Source organism: Homo sapiens, chromosome 4 (genome assembly GCF_000001405.40).
Source record: "Homo sapiens chromosome 4, GRCh38.p14 Primary Assembly".
NCBI lineage: Eukaryota > Metazoa > Chordata > Mammalia > Primates > Hominidae > Homo > Homo sapiens.
Window position 1 is genome coordinate 48,246,743 of NC_000004.12, and position 19,557 is coordinate 48,266,299.

General features: G+C 40.3%; 1 protein-coding gene across 5 annotated transcripts in view; it reads right to left on the reverse strand.

The window, feature by feature from the left end:
- Positions 1-19,557, reverse strand: part of TEC (tec protein tyrosine kinase) — a 134,056-nt gene that overhangs the window by 110,960 nt on the left and 3,539 nt on the right. Inside the window, exon 1 of one of the 5 annotated variants that reach the window (XM_047416106.1) lies at positions 8,380-9,070. The exons of 1 other annotated variant lie outside the window; for it this stretch is intronic. In XM_047416106.1, the coding sequence (XP_047272062.1) occupies positions 8,380-8,607 (228 nt within the window). In that variant the 5' untranslated portion in view covers positions 8,608-9,070. Of the gene's footprint in view, positions 1-8,379; positions 9,080-19,557 lie in introns of those variants that run through there. 3 more of the 5 variants (XM_047416107.1, XM_011513741.2, XM_047416108.1) reach the window with 3 other exon arrangements.

The window sequence follows — 19,557 nt, forward strand, 5'->3', positions numbered from 1 at the left end:
AAAAATTAACTCAAAATGGATCAAAGATTTAATTAAAGAACTAAAATTGTAGAACTCTTAGAAGAAAACATAGGTACAAATTTTCATGACCTTAGATTAAGCAATGGTTTCTTAAATATGACATCAAAAGCATAAGCAAGAAAAGAAAAATAGGTAAGTAGGACTTCATCAACTTAAAAATTTTTGCGTGACATTATTGAAGAAGGTTACAAGAAGTTCCCACAGAATGAAAAACATATTTGCAAATGATATATCTGATAATGGTCTAGTATCCAGAATATATAAAGAACACTTACCGTTAAACAAGAAAAAGACAACCCAGTGTTAAAATGGGTGAAGGATTTGAATAGACATTTCTCCAAAAACATATATGAATGGTCAGCAAACATATAAAAAAATTTCAACACCATTAGTCACTATGGAAATGCAAATTGAAACGACGAGATACCACTTCATACACACTAGGAGGAATATAATCCAAAAAATAGAAACTGAACAAGTATTAGCAAGAATGTGGAGAAATCAGAACCCTCACACATTGCTGCTGGAAATGTAAAATGGTACAGGCACTGTGAAAAATAGTTTGGCAGTTCCTCAAAAGTTAAACATAGAATTTTCGTATGACTCAGCATTTCCACTCCTAGGTATATACCCAACAGAATTAAAAACACATTCACACAAAAACTTGTATGTGAATGCTCATGGCAGTACTACTCACAACAGCCAAAAAGTGAAAACAACCCAATGTCTGCCAACTGATGAATGAATAAACAAAATTTATATATTCATACAATGAAATATGATATTATTCTACCCTAAAAAGGAATGAAATACTGATACATGGTACAACTTGAATGAACCTTGAAAACATTATGTTGGATAAAAGAAGCCAGATAGAAACGGCAACAAGTTGTACTGATTACTTTTACATTAAATGTCTAGAGTAGGTAAATCCACACAGGCTGAAAGTGGGTTACTGATATGGAGGTGTGGGGTTTCTTTCTGAGATAATGGTAATCTTCTGGAATTAGATAGTGGCGATGACGCATAGCATCATAAATATAGTAAAAATCACTAGACTACTCTGTAAAACGATTTAAATGGCAAATTTTATGTTAATTGAATTTATTCTCAATAAAAGTAATTTAAGAAACAATACATGTACAACATGTAAATATACAGACAAGAATTAAAACTAAAAGGAGGAGTCAGAAACCAAAAGGCAGAAAGTGGAAAACAGAGTGGAACTCAGACTTATGCAGGGGTTGGTTCTCAGTCAGCACATAGGGTAAAAACTGAACACAGTCAATTAGCCTTGAGTCTTCCACAGGAGACACAGGTCACACTGCAGACTGATACACTCTCTCTGGATATGTCCAACACAGTATCAGCAGAAATGTCCAGAAGCACTGGAAGTTCTATCAGTTAGCTTTTGATTAGAACAAAAACAAAACCCACTCCATAATTAGTGGTGTACAAATAATAAAAACATATTGTTTCTCATGATTCTGCAGGTCAGTTGGGCTTTCCTGGCCTGGATATCTAGGGTGGCCTCATTCACGCTTCTGGCAATTATAAGCTATCAGCCAGGGCACACGTGGCTTCTTGAACAGGACAACTTGGGCTTGCTCCTACAGTCCTCAGGGTCCTAAGTGCAGTAAGAGAGAGCACGCACCCAGTACACAGCACATTGCATGTCTCTGAATGCTTTACATTTATTTGCTCTTGTTTCACTGGCAAAAGCAAGTCACAAGCCCAGCGTCAGTACGGGAGGTGACTACTCAAGGTGAGCAGACACTGGGAGGGGAATGATGCAGGCCTTTTTGCAAACAATCCAGCCCACAGAATAATCAATTTTAGGTTTTCTGGTTTGGGACTAAAGTATCTGGCATGGGCCTAGGGGTCAGTTTGTATAACAAGGTATGTATCTTTAACCACAAATCACATTGAGCACTGTGAGATGCTCATGGATATCCTCTGCAGACTCAGGCAGACAAAGAGAGCACCAGGTTCACACGCCTCCAGTACACACCCCTTCTGGGGTGTATACTCATCAGGTGGAAAGATGAATAGGTTCATCTGCACTCTTTACATTGTTGTTTCTCTCTCTTTGTCTCCTCTTTCTTTTTTTTTTTTTTTGGCTGGCCCACAGAGTTGAATTCCCCTAATTCATATATGCTTCAATTCTACTACACACTGAAAACCAGAAATCTGAAACATTTTGTGTAATCGTGTGTCAAGTTTGGAGCTTCTCAAAATATCAGAGATTAAAGAATTTTTTGAATGCTTCATAGAATAATAATGTTTATGATAAATTACACACCAGCTTATCAAAAGAAAAATTTTCCCTGTCACTAAACTCCAAAGAGAAACCAGTTTATGGGATCATAAAAGATAATGAAAGATATTACAAAATGTCTTCAACAGCAGTTTGGGCAGAAATCACAAAAGTGCTCCTCAACAGGCTACTTCTTATATTAACATTTCATAATGGCTTAGTAAATAAAGCCTTAGTAAAGGCATTCCTACCTGGGCTGAGCTAAATAGGTTGCTATCTGGTTAATTCAAGAAATAGGAATAAAGTACAGAAATAGGTAAATCAGGAATATGATCCTTGGTCTGTATCTGTTAAATATTATCTCAAGACCACTTTTGGCAAAACTTGAGTGAAATTCAGTTTAAGATACACTCTCCAGTATGTGACAGAAATGTAAATCTTATGTTCATGGTAATATTGTGTAATATAATTTAAACAGCACGTTTGTAAAATTTTTTAAATGCTAGTATGTGCCTTCCTGATAGGCCAAGTATTTTATGGTGTACTTGGCTGAATGGCCCAAGGTAACAGGAAACAGTCCCAAAGACCTATGGCTTCACAAAGGAAGTAATTACCTTTGGAGATTCCAACTTCATCTGATTTAAGCCCTGCTTCTTGACTTCATGATCTTTCTGCTAACCCTGAGCTGAAATGTCTCAGATTACTATAACTAAGAATTACTAAGACCCTGGCAGGTGTCCTTTCAGTATTATTTCTGCCAAATCAGAAGGCTGTACATGGCAGAGTGGGAAAACTGTAGTTTTCAGTTCACAGCACAAATTATACAAGTAGACACTAATATTTTAAACTAGTGAAATAGAAAAGCACATTCAAAGCACAATGTGAGTCTTATCAGTTACGCATAGACTAGAAGACTTCAGGGTGACTGGCTGATGGATTTCAGTAGATCCCAGCCAAGGCATGCATCCTGGAATTCCAGCTGAGCCATCTATAGGCTGATAACTCCAAAATCTACATCTTTAGCTTTGACATTCTCCAGAACCTCAGATTGCTGTATCCAACTGCAACCCTAACATCTTTATTTAAATATCTAGCAGGTATCTCAAACACAACACCACTTAACACAGAGCTCTAGATAGTCCCCTAAATTTTGCTCTTCATCCAGTATCCAAGTAAATGGCCTCATAATCTCCCCAGCTGCTCAGCCAAGTATCTAGGCATTAGCTCTGATTCATTCTTTTCTCTCATACTCAAATCTAATTCATCAGCATGTTCTTTGGACTGTACCCCTAAATATTTCCTGAACCTATTCAAGATTCTCATTCTTCACTACTCTCCCATGAGTGCAATAGATTGATTGGAATAATGGCCCCAATTTTTCATATCTCCTTGTATCTTTTCACACCTGTCTGAATTCCTGTTCTTTGGCAATGCCCTCCCACACTGACTATGGATATACCTATGTAACTTACTTTGACCAATGGGACAGTAGCAAACTTGACACAAGCTGAGTCCTTAAAACGTGTGCGTTTGTTTCTACTTCCTCTCTTGCTTCTTTGCGATCACCGTGAGAATCCAACTGTCCAGCCTGAGGGTAAGCCCAAACTAGCCTACTAGAGGGATGTAATGTACATATGGAGGAGAGCAGAGTTGATCCAAACATCTCAGCTGAGACCATCCCTATACTAGTTGACAGCCAGCTGGCCCCTCAAACATATCAGAGAACCCAGGCAATATTGCAGAGCTGCCTACCTAACCCACAGTGGACCACAGACACATGGGCAAGCCCAGTTAAGATCAACCAAGCCCAGCCAAGATCAGCAGAATTACCCAGACATCCTATACTCATGAGCAAAAATAAATCCTAATTGTTGTATGCTGCTGAATTTATGGGACTGTTTGTTACACAGGATTACTGTGGCAATAACTAATAGAGCCATCATTATCCCGCATCAGGACTACTGGAATATCCTCCTAATGGGTCTCAGTACTTCCTTCTTATCTCCTTATAATCATTTTTCCATGCATCAGTAAATACATTCATTAAAAAACATAAATCAGTCTATGTCATCAGCCCTGCTAAAATCCTCCAACGCCTACCCAATGCACTTAAACTAAAACCCATACTCCTTAACCTAGTATATGACCTACTTCTCTAACCGCATCTAGTACCACTCCCCAATGGCCCACTATGATTCAACCACACCAGCCTTCTTCCTATTCTTCAAACACTGCAAACTCATGGCTGGGGTCTTGGCACATAATGTTCTCTCTACCTGGAAGAGTGCTCCATTTTCTTTCTCCCTCCTCCCCACCCATTTCTCTCTTGCAGTTTTCTTCTTATAACTCAAATTTTAGTTTAAATTCACTTCCACAAAAAAAGACCTTCCTTTGACTACCCAGTCTAAAGTAGACAGCCAGTTATTCTCACTATGTTATCCTGTTTTAATTCTTTCCATGGTACTTATCTCTGTGTGACACTTTTCTTGATTATGTGTTGTTTTTCTTGTGCACTCTCCCCACTGGTTGTAAGTTTCACAGGAAAGGAACCTGTTCTGTGCATTCACCACTGGGTCCTCAGCTCCTAAAGCAGTTCCTTCACATATTATTCATTAAATACTCAGATTGAATTGGACATGATTGTATTTACTTAGGATTGAGGGAGGACTCTAAGGAGTATGCAAGTGGAAGAATGTAAGAGAAATAACAGCCTTTATTATAAAAAGAAGAGGGGTGGGATGATATTGTAAATGACAAGATCAAAACTTTATTGGGGTGACTGCAAAAGGGGAGGAGGAGTAATTAAAATGGTTTCAGAAAGCTCATAATAAGACTATGGGTTTTACAGAGAAGAAATAGTAGAAGCAAATATTGGATGAATGCTACCTGACATAGAATAAACAAATCAGATCCTAAGATCTGGTTTTTACAAAGACGAAGAAGCAAGGCAAGCTAAAATGGAAGAGAGAAAAGACCAACTGATTCTGAGAGGAAAATACTAAAGCAGAAAAAACATTTCACTAGATAACAGAACGCAGTTCACAGCCTGGACTCTGAAAACAGCCTAAAATGGAAGCTTTGCTCTGCTCCTTATTAGTTGTATAAACACCGACAATTACCTCTCTGAGCTTGCTTCCTGATTTATAAAATAGGGTAATAATTATGACTTCACAGAGTTGTAAGAATTAAATAAGCAAATATACATAAAGTGCTTAGTATGGCACATGGATTATAGTAATTACTCAGCATTAGTGATGATGATGATAGTGGTAGTGGTGGTGGTGCTGCTGATCCTTAAGTCAATCCTGCTATTGTTGATTAAATTGGCAAAGGCCATAGTATCTCACTGAGTCTGTTGAGTCTGCTTAATTTTTTTTTTAATTTTCAAGCATTTCAAGTTGTCCCTTCTTACCAAGAAAGAAATGAGCACAGAACCAGAACCTAGAGCCAGAAGAGCTGGGTTCTGTCCCTGGTTCTGCAACTAACTAGCTGGGTGATCTTGGGTGAGTCACCAACTTCCCAGACCTGAAAGTTTCCTTGTCATCAGCTCTATCCCTGCCCAAGGCAGCAGGTCTAAGAAACATTCTGTGAAGAGGCAGAGGTACTGATGTAAGATAGAGACATAAAGGCAGAGATATAGGCAGACAATCACTCCATGTCATTCCATTCCAGAGCACAAAAAGCAATATTAAATACCTTAACTGAAGGCTTCCCAAATCATGTTCCTCAGAACACTAGGAGCTGTGGGATGATAACATGTGCTTATATTAGACCATAATCTCATAAATGTAGGAACACTGGGTGACTTTATTCTACTCTAGGACCAGTGGCCAGCAGAGTACTCAAAACATACTACCATAGCACACATTTACTGCATGCTTGTTGAATGAATGAACAAATGAATGAATGGACAAGTATATTTGGGAAAAGCTGGGTTAAACAACATCAAATTGGTTCCTTGTATGCATTTCTCAGGGGCTTTAATAGGTGAATCATATAGAATGCAGCGCTTCCCAACTTCATTTGATCATAGAACTTACTCTATTTCCCCTGAACCTCGTTAACATCTCCCAGAGTTGTAGTCTATAAAACACAGATTGGGAAACATCTGAGGCTTACATAATGTAAGTCATTTTTACTATCATGAAATACGTAAGTTATCTTACTTTTTATTCATCAGGCAGTAAAACGGCTAAGTAACTTGATTCATACCTAGTATGTAGCTGTCGTCTCCTGGCATCCTAGCAGCAGCTGTCCTGTCTCATTCCTCTGCCCTTCTCCCTGCTTCCACATAACTACTCTGTCCTGAAAATCCTTCCACCTCTTCTTCTATTATCTCTTCTCTCTAAAGCCCGTAGTCTTATTATGAGCTTTCTTTAACTGTTTTAATTACTCCTTCTCACCTTTTACAATCACTCCAATAAAGTTTTCATCCTGTCATTTACAAGATCATCCTGCCCCTCTTCTTTTTGTTCTTTCTCTTGCATTCTTCCACCTGCATACTCCTTAGGGTCATTCCTCAATCCTAAATAAATGTAATCATGTCCAATTCTTTTTTTTTTTTTTTTTGAGACAGAGTCTCGCTCTGTTGCCCAGGCTGGAGTGCAGTGACACAATCTCAGCTTACTGCAACCTCCTCCACCTCCCAGGTTCAAACAATTCTCCTGCCTCAGCATCCCGAGTAGCTGGGACCACAGGCATGCACCACCATGCCCAGCTAACTTTTGTAGTTTTAGTAGAGACAGGATTTCACCATGTTGACCAGGCTGATCTTGAACTCCCGACCTCAGGTGATCCACCTGCCTAGGCCCCCCCAAAGCGCTGGTATTATAGGCGTGAGCCACCGAGCCTGGCCTAATCATGTCCAATTTAATCTGAGTTCCCTTTTCCTTTCCTACCACTTGTTTTCCAGGACTCAAGCAAGCAAATGTACCAGGTCTTTTCATATCCCCATGTATCTGCTCGAGTTGTTCTCTCTGGAAGGCTCCTCCCTCTTTATCCACCTATTGAAATCCTATTCATTTTTCAAGGTCCTGATCATACGTAATCTCTTTTATGAAGTCTCCCTTATTTTCCACTCCTGCCATAATTAACGACTCCCATTAACCCCAAGACAACTGCACAACTAACGCAAACATAAAAAGTTGGTTGTATCTATGAATGCAGAGATAGCAGAGCTGGGAGAGATGACCATGAACCAGGTGAGTCAATCAGGGAGAATGACAAAGAGGTTGGTGGCAAAAGGAGAGACCAGGAGGGTACCTGCATGAATGGCTTGAACCCTAAAGGACAAAGGGGTTTTGCAGGAAGGCAGAAAAGTGATGCCCTAGAAGTGGCAAAGGGAAGCTAGGAGTAGGCTACAGCAGAGAGAGCTACAGGGAAGGCAATGCTGTTACTCTGTGAGGAGGCTCTGGTGTGGGAGAGTTGATTCACAGTGGAACAATGCTCTCAAAGGGCCACTGGAAAGATTTGGGAAGGCAGCCAGCAGAAGAATGGAAGTTCAAAATCATAGGAGGCTTGAGAGTACATAGAAAGACAGTTGATTAGAAAGGCTGGTGGCCAAAAAAACTGGGGATAAGAGGCAAGGCCTCCGCCTACACTGGCTGAGATCCCAGATGGTGTCAGAGACCAAATGAGGTTAGCATTCAATAGTCTTTGATCAGCATCCAAAGAGTAGGTTGACGAGTAATTTTTCCGATGTCTATGAAGAACAGATTTCTCTAATGTTCCACTCATGGCAAAATCCTTTTCCCACCCAGATCCATTTGTGGGCTATGCCATAGGGCAGGATGGAGGGGCGGGGGCTGTTGGTGAGGAGGTGTTGGGTGTGGCACCTCCTTTCACTAGGGCAGGGCTTACTGACCTAAAAGGGACACAGCAAGCTGAACATGGTGCAGAGTCTACAGGGATGAGAGGCCTGCAAGGCACCAAGTAGGCACGAAGGCCAAAAAAGTAGTGGATGACCAAGGGCAGACAGACAATAGCATAGGGAATCCAAGACAAAAATACTCATCTTCTGAAAACCCGGTATAAGCAGGGTTCTTTCAAATGCACATAATTAGATTTAAGCAAACAACAACAAAAGGAACACATTGGCTCACATAATCGAGAAGTCCTGGCACAGCTGACTCCTGCACTTCAAACAATGCTGAGTGTGCTCTCACCACCGTGCAGTGCTGCTTCTCACTGCACGGTCCCATTCTCTTGTATTGCGGCTTCCTCCATGGAGCAGGGAAAAATGACCACCAGTAGCTCCAGGTTACATCGCTCCAGGTTAAATCCCAGAGGAAGAGCTCCCCCTTTCCTAAATGCCAGCAGAAGAGTCCCATTGAGCCAGACTGGATCACATGCTAACCCCTGAGCCAATCCCTTGGTCAAGTGGAGGGACTGCTCGGATTGGCCAAGGCTGAATCACATGATCATCCCTGGGTAGTGTCAACTCCACCCAAACCACATGAATTGGACAGAGTAGCTGCCCAAAGGAAGAAAGTCTGGGCAGACAAATAATCAGTCCACTACAGCACAGTCACTTGTCAGGAAGGCCCCAGATAACCAAAAGGGCACTTGAGAGAGCTTTGAAGTCAGACAGAACTGGTTTTAAAGGTCAGCTTTGACATTTACTAGCTGTATGACCTCAGGTAAGTAATGTAACTTCTCAGTAACTCAGGTTCCTCATTGTAAAATAGTACCTACCTCCTATAGATATTGTGGGAGGATTAAATGAAATAATTTACATAAATTGCTAAGCACAATGCTTGACACAAAGTAAGTGATCAATCAATGGCAGCTATTATTATCAAAATAACAATAATGACAATTAGTATTATCAGAACAAAGGTACCATATGAAGGGTGATCTGTGACTCCATGAAAGAGAGGGCAAGGTCAGCATTTGGATAAATCAGCCCTGGGTCATGTATCATTAAGGACAACTGAGGACACAATGCAGAGGCCCAAATACAGAGTCAAAGCTAAGATAACAATTCAAATCAATAAACATGCTGAGCACCTATTGTGCACTAAGCACTGGAAATACAATTATGAATAACACACATATGACTCCAAGGTAAACTACCATGAAGAATGACTATGGCTCTGTGACAGTATTTCTGGGGGAGGAGAGGTTGACTGAGGCTGCTTCTACACTTTCAGCCACAGGCAGGGCACTGGAGTAGTGCTGAGCATACAACAGAACAATGCCATGGGACCAACTACCAGAATGCGAGGAAGAGACAGAAGGGCTACAATCCACCGCCCACCCTGCTAAAAATAATGCCTCTGTGGCCGGGCACGGTGGCTCACATCTGTTATCCCAGCACTTTGGGAGGCTGAGGCAGTTGGATCGCTTGAGCCTAGGAGTTCGAGACCAGTTTGGGCAACATGACAAAACCCTGTCTCTACAAAAAATTTAAAAAAAAAAAAAATTAGCCAGGAGTGATGGTGCCTGCCTGTAGTCCCAGCCACTAGAGAGGCTGAGGAGGGAGGATCGCTTGACCCTGGAAGGTCGAGAGGCTGCAGTGAGCTGATATTGTGCCACTGCACTCCAGCCTGGGCAACAGAGCGAGACCTTGTCTCAAAAAAAAAAAAAAAAAAAAAAAAGTCTTTTTGCATAAATTAGGAAAAAGTGTCTCTTCTTTTAAAAACTTTACTTCTATCTTCCTAAAACCTGTTGCAGTAAATAAGCAAATCCACTGGGTCTACAATATAAATGACATCTCAGAATTTTGTAGTGTATAACCTGCACATTATATATAGCAGTTCTGGGCATAGGCAGGGAAAATAAGATGGATGCTGAGAGGAGTCAGGAGTCAGGGATGGGGATAGAGTGTCTAGGAGTCCCCGGTCCTTAGGAGACAAAGAATACCTTTTGCTATAGAGCTGCGCTGTTCAATATGACAGCCACTTGCCACCAATAGCTAATGAGCACTTGAAATGAAGCCAGTGCGAATGGCGAACCACATTTTTTATTTTAATAAATATGAATTTAAAATGTAAAACTTAAGCAGTAAATAATTTTTTTTCCATTAATCACAACTTTGTTGTTTGGTAGAACTACATTTCACTCTATCTGCTGCATTACAAAAGATGTCCTGTACTGTATTTCTCCTGAGTTATTTCTAGTATCTCAATAATTTTATATGATTACATGAAATTATAATATTTTTATATATGGCTTACATGAAATATATTATTAAAATTAATTTCACCTGTTGCACTTTCCTTTTTTAAGGTGACTACTAGAAAATTTTAAATTACATATGTGGCTTACAGAATATTTCTGTTCAACAGTGCTGCTTTGAAGACATCTTAAGGTCTATATAGTTAAGGGGCTTGGGGTGATATCCAGAGAAACTAACTGCTTGGTTTTGTTTGAAGTAGACCTTCACATTTCTTTCTAGGTTGTCCAGCTCTGTTTACAAGGAGGGAAAATATGACAAAGAGAGGAGAGGAGCATACCTCAGTGAGTAGAGCTCAGCAGACTTCTGGACTCCAGCTCCACCACTTACCACTTACCAAGTGTTACAGAACCTCCCTGAACTTCAATCTCTTCATCTGTAAAATGCTGAAAGTAATCTTACCCACCTCAAAGGGCTGCCTGGAGGATTAAACCTGATACTCTAGGTAAAGAGCTTAGCATGGAGCCTGGCACATCATATATGCCCAATAGATATTTGGGATGTTTATTACTTGGGAATAAAGAAGGTACAAATGAATGATTTCCTTTGTGTTATTTAGGTCAGTTTGCCACAGTACAAGAGGGTGCACCCTGTCCACATGCCCATTTACCTTTCTAGACTGAAAATTTGGATGGAAGTATTTTCCTCAATCTTCTATACCATTGATAAATATATTTGCTTTCTTTAAATCCATTAGGTCTTTAAGACACATTAATGAGCAGTGAAAAAATTATCTTAGATGCTGAAGCAACATGAAAATGGGTAAAACTGGCATTTAATGAATTATTTGTGCCAACAGCTAACACTAGAAATTTTTGTTCCAAGTCATATAGTGAATGTTTTCAGTTAAGACTTTATAATATCTGAATCTCTTTCTTGAAACAAGCATTGGAATGTACATCTACATGTACAGATCGATTCATTTTATCTGAATGCATTGTTTTTTTGGTTTTTTTTTTTTTTGAGAAGGAATCTCACTCTGTCACCCAAGCTGGAGTGCAGTGGCACAATCTCGGCTCACTGCAACCTCTGCCTCCCAGGTTCAAGCAATTCTCCTGCCTCAGCCTCCCGAGTAGCTGGCATTACAGGCATGCGCCACCACACCTGGCTAATTTTTGTATTTTTAGTAGAGACAAGGTTTCACCATGTTGGCCAGGCTGGTCTCAAACTCCTCAACCTCAAGTGATCCGCCCACCTTGGCCTCTCAAAGTGCTGGGATAACAAGAGAGCCACTAAGCCCAGCCCTAAATGCATTCTTTATTTCTCTGCCATTTTGCATAGACTTGAGATCAACTGTTTAGCTTTTTCATGTCCCAAAGGGTTCATGTAGACTGTATACTCCCTCTTGTATGTAATTTATTTTAAAAATAATAACTAGAGTAGTTCAACCATATCTGTATTCTGATACACATTCTGAGAAATGTCCAGCTATGCCTAACCTTTGTTCATCGTGTAGCCCTCTCCTGAGTCCTGATTTTCAAAAATATTTTTCCCAACTTATTGCTGACTGAATTTACTTACCAGACTTTGTGTGGCGTCTTTTCAAAATCACTTGGAAAATCTGTTTATCCCTGTCTTCCCTGATTATTTATTTAATTCTCTTTAAGAACTCTAGCGAATTTGTCTGACATGGTTACCCTCTTTCAAAGGGAAAGACTCTCCTCCGAAATGTTATATTTGCTTAAAACAGTATAAATCCACTTTCCCTACTTCCCTACACATACACTCATGTAGAATTTATTTTAGATTTCATTCATTCCACAAAGTCCAAGGAAAATTCCACAGACACTACATTAAATTTACCGTGAGTCTAAGCAAGCCATTATCTTCTATGAGGCTCTCTTTTCTCATCTATAAAATGGGCATAATATACTTGCCCTTTGCCAAATAGAACAAGCCATCTCCTTGTTCATGACTGTGTATAAAACACTCTCAGAGAAGCTCAAAGTCCTTTACAAGTATTAGGCCATGAATCTTTCTCAAGTGAACTGTTAATTATGTGTCATTATAGTTTGTTGAATAGATGCAAAACCTGAAGCACAGGAAAATAATTCCAGTTAATAGTTAACTTAGAAATCCATGCAAGGTAATGAAACAATATGTATAAAAACCCCTGTGACTCATGTTTGCCTACGTAACAAACCTTCACATGTACCCCCAAACCTAAAATAAAAGAAAAAAGAAATCCACCCAAGGCTTTAAACATTAGACCATGATATCTAGAAAGATGACAAAGGGGCTGGGCGCAGTGGCTCATGCCTGTAATCCCAGCACTTTGGGAGGCTGAAGCTGGCAGATCACTTGAGGTCAGGAGTTCGAGACCAGCCTGGCCAACGTGGCAAAAGCTCACCTCTACTAAAAATACAAAAAATAGCCGGGCGTGGTGGCACATGCCTATAGTCCCAGTTATTCAGGAGGCTGAGGCATGAGAATCTCCTAAACCCAGGAGGTGAAGATTGCAGTGAGTCGAGATCATGCCACTGTACTCCAGCCAGGGTGACAAAGTGAGACTTTGTCTCAAAAAAAAAAAAAAAAGAAAGATGTCAAAAGAAAAATCTGAACAGGAGCTCACTCTGCTGTAGTTCTTTATCAAGAAACTACATTAATGCAAAATTCTCTAACATTGCTGGTTGCCTTGCACACCTTACTGGGCCATGATTACTCAAGCAGTAGAGAAATGGCACAATGGATAGGAAGGCTGGAGTTTCCTGAGGACATAAGATGCCTTCCCGGGTCACACAAAGTTTCATAAACTCTAGACCAGGTACTGAGGTCAAATGTCATTGCACAGTTACATAACAACTCTTCCATGTTTTGTTACTGATCCTTGGAAAGTTTTCCTATAGACATCCAATAAGATGAAATGAGGCTCTACACATTACCAACAAGAACACAGTCTCTGCAAATGACCTGTCAGGTTCTTCTAGTTTTATCTGACCTATAACTGGGTACATAACATGGCCTCAAGCATTCTGGCTCTTCTTGTCCTCACATAACAGAGACACTGTAATTCTAAAAGGTCAAAAAAGAGAAAAAATGGAAACTTCACATTGCTAGTGAGTTATTTTATGACCTTCTAAAACTGATGAATAAAAGCTAGAAATCAGTCAGGTGTGGTGGCTCACACCTGTAATCCTAGAACTTTGGGAGGCCGAGGTGGGAGAATCACTTGAGGCCAGGAGTTCAAGACCAACCTGGCCAACATAGCAAGGCCTCATCGCTGCTTAATTTTCGTTTCAATGAGCTGGATGCAGTCATATGCATCTGCAATCCTAGCTACTCAGGAGGCTGAAGCCAGAGGCTGAAGCTCAAACCTTCTATTTAAGCCCAGGAGTTCGAGGCTGCAGTAATCTATGGTGATGGCACCACTGTGCTCCAGCCTAAGCAACAGAGCAAGACTCTGTCTCTAAAACAAAAAAAAAGAAAAAAAAAATCTAAGTGTCCAACAACTGGGGAGTGGCTCAAAATACCACCGTATGCTAACATGACAGAATTACCCAAAGAAAATTATGCATGGACTAATTACAACGTCATAAAGTAACTACCTGTGTATAAATAAAGATTGTAGAATTTGGAGTTACATAAACAGTTGTAACATAATGCTCCTTAATTATTTTCTAGAACATTGCTAAAGATTTATTAAAAGTCAGCTGGTAATAGAGATGACTGGAAGGGGATTCACAAAGATTCTCTCTGGAATGGTTTTAGGGTTATTTTTAATTTCTTCTTTGTAAGCTTCAGTATTGTTTACATCTTCTAACAAGGAATATATAAAACTCTACAAAATGACAATTTTTTTTTACTGATGGCAAGGAGAGTCCAAGGAGCACACCAGGTGTCTGAGAACCTCGGTGGCACCCAAAGATCAAACTTTTGCCTGGGGGAAGCAAGATGGTGTGTCAACAGCTCTGAGCCTAAAAAATGTCTTCTGGCTAGGACTCCAGAACTTATGAACAAGAATTATTTCATGCAATGCTTCTATAACTGGTTTAAGTATGTGACAAAGACACTGACAATCCTTAAAAAAATTCAAAAGCATGTATACCTAAATTTACATGTCTGACAGCATTCAAACCCAGTTAAATTGTATTTCTGTTTCCCTGCATGGTTGAAGGATCAAGCATTTTTATCACCCAAGCAGGAAAATGAAGAAATCAACTGCCTTCTACAAATCAAAAATAACCCTAATAGTAAAAACTAACTTTGTTGCATGCTTAAATCATATTGGCAGAAAAATGAAACTTTAAATCACTCTTGTAAGAAAAAAAGCCAGTTTCATTTTTGGGGCAGTCATATGGAAATCCCACAAGTCGTGGTTGAAACATAATATTGAGGAGTATGTGAGGACATTAAGAGTTTCTAAGGAAATAGTAACAAAAGATATCATTGGAATTCCATGAAGGATAAGAGAAGAAAAATCAAAGGTTTTTCCTACTAAATCACATTATAATGTCACCAAAATTAAAAATAAAAGGAGTAGGATACTTGACAGGGAGTTTCACCTTGTAAGTATCTCATATAGTACATGACAAGTTAAAGTCTGTCGCTTTGATACTCTATTGTAAGCATTTCAAGGTTAAAAGCTTTAACCTTGAAAAACAAATGACATATAGTTACAAAAGGCAAAAGTATATATTGTAGAAATCCAAACAAAAGTGTTCCTCCTTTAGAAACATAAAACTGATGAGATAACATAATGAATACTTACTTCCCTCCCTCCTCCAAAAGCCATTCTTTGTAGCCATAAAAACTAAGATAATCATAACACTATGCTAAGAAAAAATATACAGATGGAAAATAATGATAATAATGTATGTTGTCCTTTCAAGAATGTTTTCAGTGAAGAATATTTCTAAATAATACAAGAAACAATACACTTGAGAAAACTTAAATTGAATGCTCTATATTTCAATCCATATATAGACAAGTGATGTGAAAGTCTAATCAAGAATTTAGAGAATTTAGATTGTTGAGTACAACTTGGGTAATTGTGACCAAATGTCTCTTTTTTTTTTTTTGAGACGGAGTCTTGCTCTGTTGCCCAGGCTGGAGTGCAGTGGTGCGATCTCAGCTAACTGCAACCTCTGCTACCTGAGTTCAAGAGATTCTCCTGCCTCAGCCTCCCGAGTAGCTGGAATTACAGGCACGTGCCACCAGGCCCACCTAATTTTTGTATTTTTAGTAAAGATGGGGTTTCACCATATTGGCCAGGCTGGTCTTGAACTCCTGACTTCAAGTGATCCACCTGCCTCAGCCTTCCAAAGTGCTAGGATTACAGCCATGAGCCACCACTCTTGGCCCAAATATCATTTTTTCTTAACTATAAAGTGTCCAAAATTGTCTGGAAAATTCATTCAGTATATTAAGTACTTGCTTGGTACTATGCTTTCCCTAGGAAAGAACTTCTGTGAAGACCCAGTACATTACAGAAAAACTATACTGCCTGGAAAAGGGAGGTTCCAATGACTTCAAAGACTTCGTTTAGAAAAGGGAAGGATGCTTGTGGAAGCACAGTGGGAGGAATGAGCTCTGCAGTATCCCTACTAGCCAAGCTTTTGTTCACAATGGTGCCTAGTGGTACCTGCTGAAAAAGCCTTTTTAACCATCTGTCATCCTCCAAAGATAAAGTAATTGTTGCACCCACTCCATTGTCACAATCGCCAGCACTCCTGTTTTCTGTATTGCCAATGCATAGCTGCCATCATGGGAAGATCGAGCTTTGCTTTTTCTGCACAGATAAGATGGCTTAGGAACAATTATCCTCCTACTTTTGTGGAAACTGACTCTTGTCATCATGTGTGTAACCATAAAGAATGTTGATGTTACAAAGCAACTGGGAGAGCATGCTGGAAGTTCACAGCCCATTAAGGGAGCCTGAGGAATGACTCAACTGATGAAATGACGTTGGGAAAGTCGTGATCATCCACAAACGGCAGGGTACATCAGCCCAGCCAGAAACAGGAACTTGGTTCACATTCCAAGGAGGGCACAAGTGGAAAGGGAAGTAAGGGTGCTGCTGCTGGTAAGGCAGTTGTGTGATAAACTGGCCTCCAGAAGGAAATAATGATAACTTCCATTGAGGCCACATGGCCATCAATGACACCAATCCCATCTTTCAGATTAAAATAATATTGGACTTAATAGAAGCTGCACTTCACTGAAAGGTAAAACATTCAGAGGTCAAGATGGCAGAAAGAGTCATCCTACACAAAGTGAATTCAAGAAACAGGAACAATAGGCCAGGCGGTGGCTCACACCTGTAATCTCAGCACTTTGGGAGGCCAAGGCAGGCAGATCACCTGAGGCCAGGAGTTCGAGGCCAGCCTGGCCAACATGGTGAAACCCTGTCTCTACTAAAAATACAAAAATTAGCTGGGTGTGGTGGCGTGCACCTGTAATCCCAGCTACTCGGGAGGCTGACGCAGGAGAATCACTTGAACCCAGGAGCTGAGATCATGCCACTGCACTCCAGTCTGGGTGACAGAGCGAGACTGTCTCCACCCCCGCCAAAAAAAAGAAAAGAAAGAAAGAAAGAAACAGGAACAAGGGCTCTATGCCAGTAATCTACGTACCACCCAACCTAAGATATAGGTTTTGCCCCCTATGACAACTATGATCAATTGGTAGTGTACACTTAGAGTTGTATATGAAGGCATCTGAGGTCCAAACTCGGCTCAGCGGCCCAGCCTGATCCGAAAATGTTTCCTGTGGGTAGAGGAAGGGGAAAACAGCAACACACTGCTATGACTGAATGGTGCCAGTCTCTGGATAGAGATTGGTAAAGAAATTATACTCTAGCCACTATTAGCAGACTGGACAAAAACCTCTACTTTCTCTCCCTTCTGAAAGCCTAAGACAATGACAATAAAGAAATTTTTTTATTTCATGTATAAATCAGCAAGGATGGAGAGAATGAGTGAAGAGACAATAGCAAAAACATTTTGGTGGAATAAGCAGAAGCCAAGAAATAATCTGATTTACACCATGGAATCTCCAAAAGGTTAAATAATTAAAGGCAATTGAACCCTCTATAAAAAGAGGGGTGGGCTAAAAAATTAGTGACTTTTTAAAGTCTTTTTAAAAAGCTGGATCCCACAGATCCCTCTGGCCACTCCAACCAGTTAGGTGACTGCCCCTTCTCTACCCCAGCAAAAAACCTGGAGTTTCCTCCCTACTCCTTCACCCTTCAGGGGGTCCGTACACAAACAGCATGGAGGGGTTATATGCACATCTACATACTGGATGCTGAGACTTCCAGTCTTCTTTTCCACTTACTGACAACCAGGCTCTCTGTCAATCTCTGGGGAAAAGAATGGAAAAGGCTTCTCTGAGGACTCTCACCAGCCCAAGAGGTAACGACCACAGAGGTTCCCCAAATAAAAAGCCCAGCCAGATTCCCCCTACCATGAATTCCCCAGTCGACAAGCTCATCCACATCTTCAGCATTTTTTTTTTTTTTGAGACAGAGTCTCCCTGTGTTGCCAGGCTGGAGTGCAGTGGCATCATATCGGCTCACTACAACCTCAGCCTCTCAGGTTCAAGCAATTCTCCTGCCTCAGCCTGCTGAGTAGCTGGGATTACAGGCACACGCCACCACGCCTGGCTAATTTTTTTTATTTTTAGTAGAGACGAGGGTTTCACCATGTTGGCCAGGCTGGTCTTGAACTCCTGACCTCAAGTGTTCCGCCCACTTTGGCCTCCCAAAGTGCTAGGATTACAGGCGTGAGCCACCCTGCCTGAACCCCAGACCTTCTGCTTTTTAATCCCCCTCTGAAGTGTGAGTAGATAACCAAGGGCATTAGTTACACAAGGAAAACTTCTAACATGAAAGAGAAGAAACCTAAACAAATGAAAAGACAAAAGCCGCTTGGGAAATTCAATCTGTGCAGGAAGGAAAAAAAGTTGCTCCAAAAAATCATTAAGCTTCTTAGGGAGAAAGGAAAAGACACTGACACTATAAAACAAAAACCAGAAAGAAATAGACACACAAACCACACACATACAAATATATATGTATATATTCAGGCAACCAAAAAAATAGAGATTTTGATTTTAAATATTCATGATTACAGTCATGAAAAACTTATTTTTGGCCCAGTCAAAAATAGCCAATATCTGAACAATATGAGCTTCTCACAGACACAGAAAATAGAGGGGGAAAAATTACCAATGAGATAGATATATATATATATGTGTGTGTATATGTATATATATACACACACATATATATACACACACACATATATACGTATATATATACATATATACACACACATATATACGTGTGTGTATATATGTGTGTATATATATATATATATATTTTTTTTTTTTTTTGAGACAAAGTCTCAATCTGTTTCCCAGGTTGGAGTACAGTGACTCAATCTCAGCACACTGCAACCTCCGCTTCCTGGGTTCAAGCAATTCTCCTGCCTCAGCCTCCTGACTAGCTGGGATTACAGGGGTGAGCCACCACGCCCAGCTAATTTTTGTATTTTTAGCAGAGATGGGGTTTCACCATGTTGTCCAGACTGGTCTCGAACTCCTGACCTCAGGTGATCGGCCTGCCTTGGCCTCCCAAAGTGCTGGGATTATAGGCATGAGCCACTGCGCCCGGCCACCAATGACATAATTTAAGAAAATTTCCCAAACTGAAGAATGAAAGTTTCCAGATTCAAAGAGCCCAACACAATGCATGAAAACAGACCCAAACCTAGGCACAGTGTCGTGAAATTTTAGGACTGTGGAGGCCAAGAGAAAATTCTATAAACTTCAGGGAGGACCCAGCAAATTGTAACCTGTACACAGATTACAAGAAAAAGCTGAGGAATCAGTAGAGTTCTAAATTTCTCAACAGCAATACCACAATGTGGAAGTCAATAGAACAATGCCTTCAAAATTGCCATCTTAGAAATCTACACTCAGTCAAACTATCAATTGTCAGTTGAAAACACATTTTCAGGCATCTACAGTCTCAGAAAAGTAGACCTCTAGGCATCCTATTCCAGGAAGCTCCTTTAGGATGGGCTCTACCAAAAGAAGGGAGTCAACCAAGACTGAGGAAGACATGTGCTACAAGTACCAGGAGATCCAACACAAGAGACAA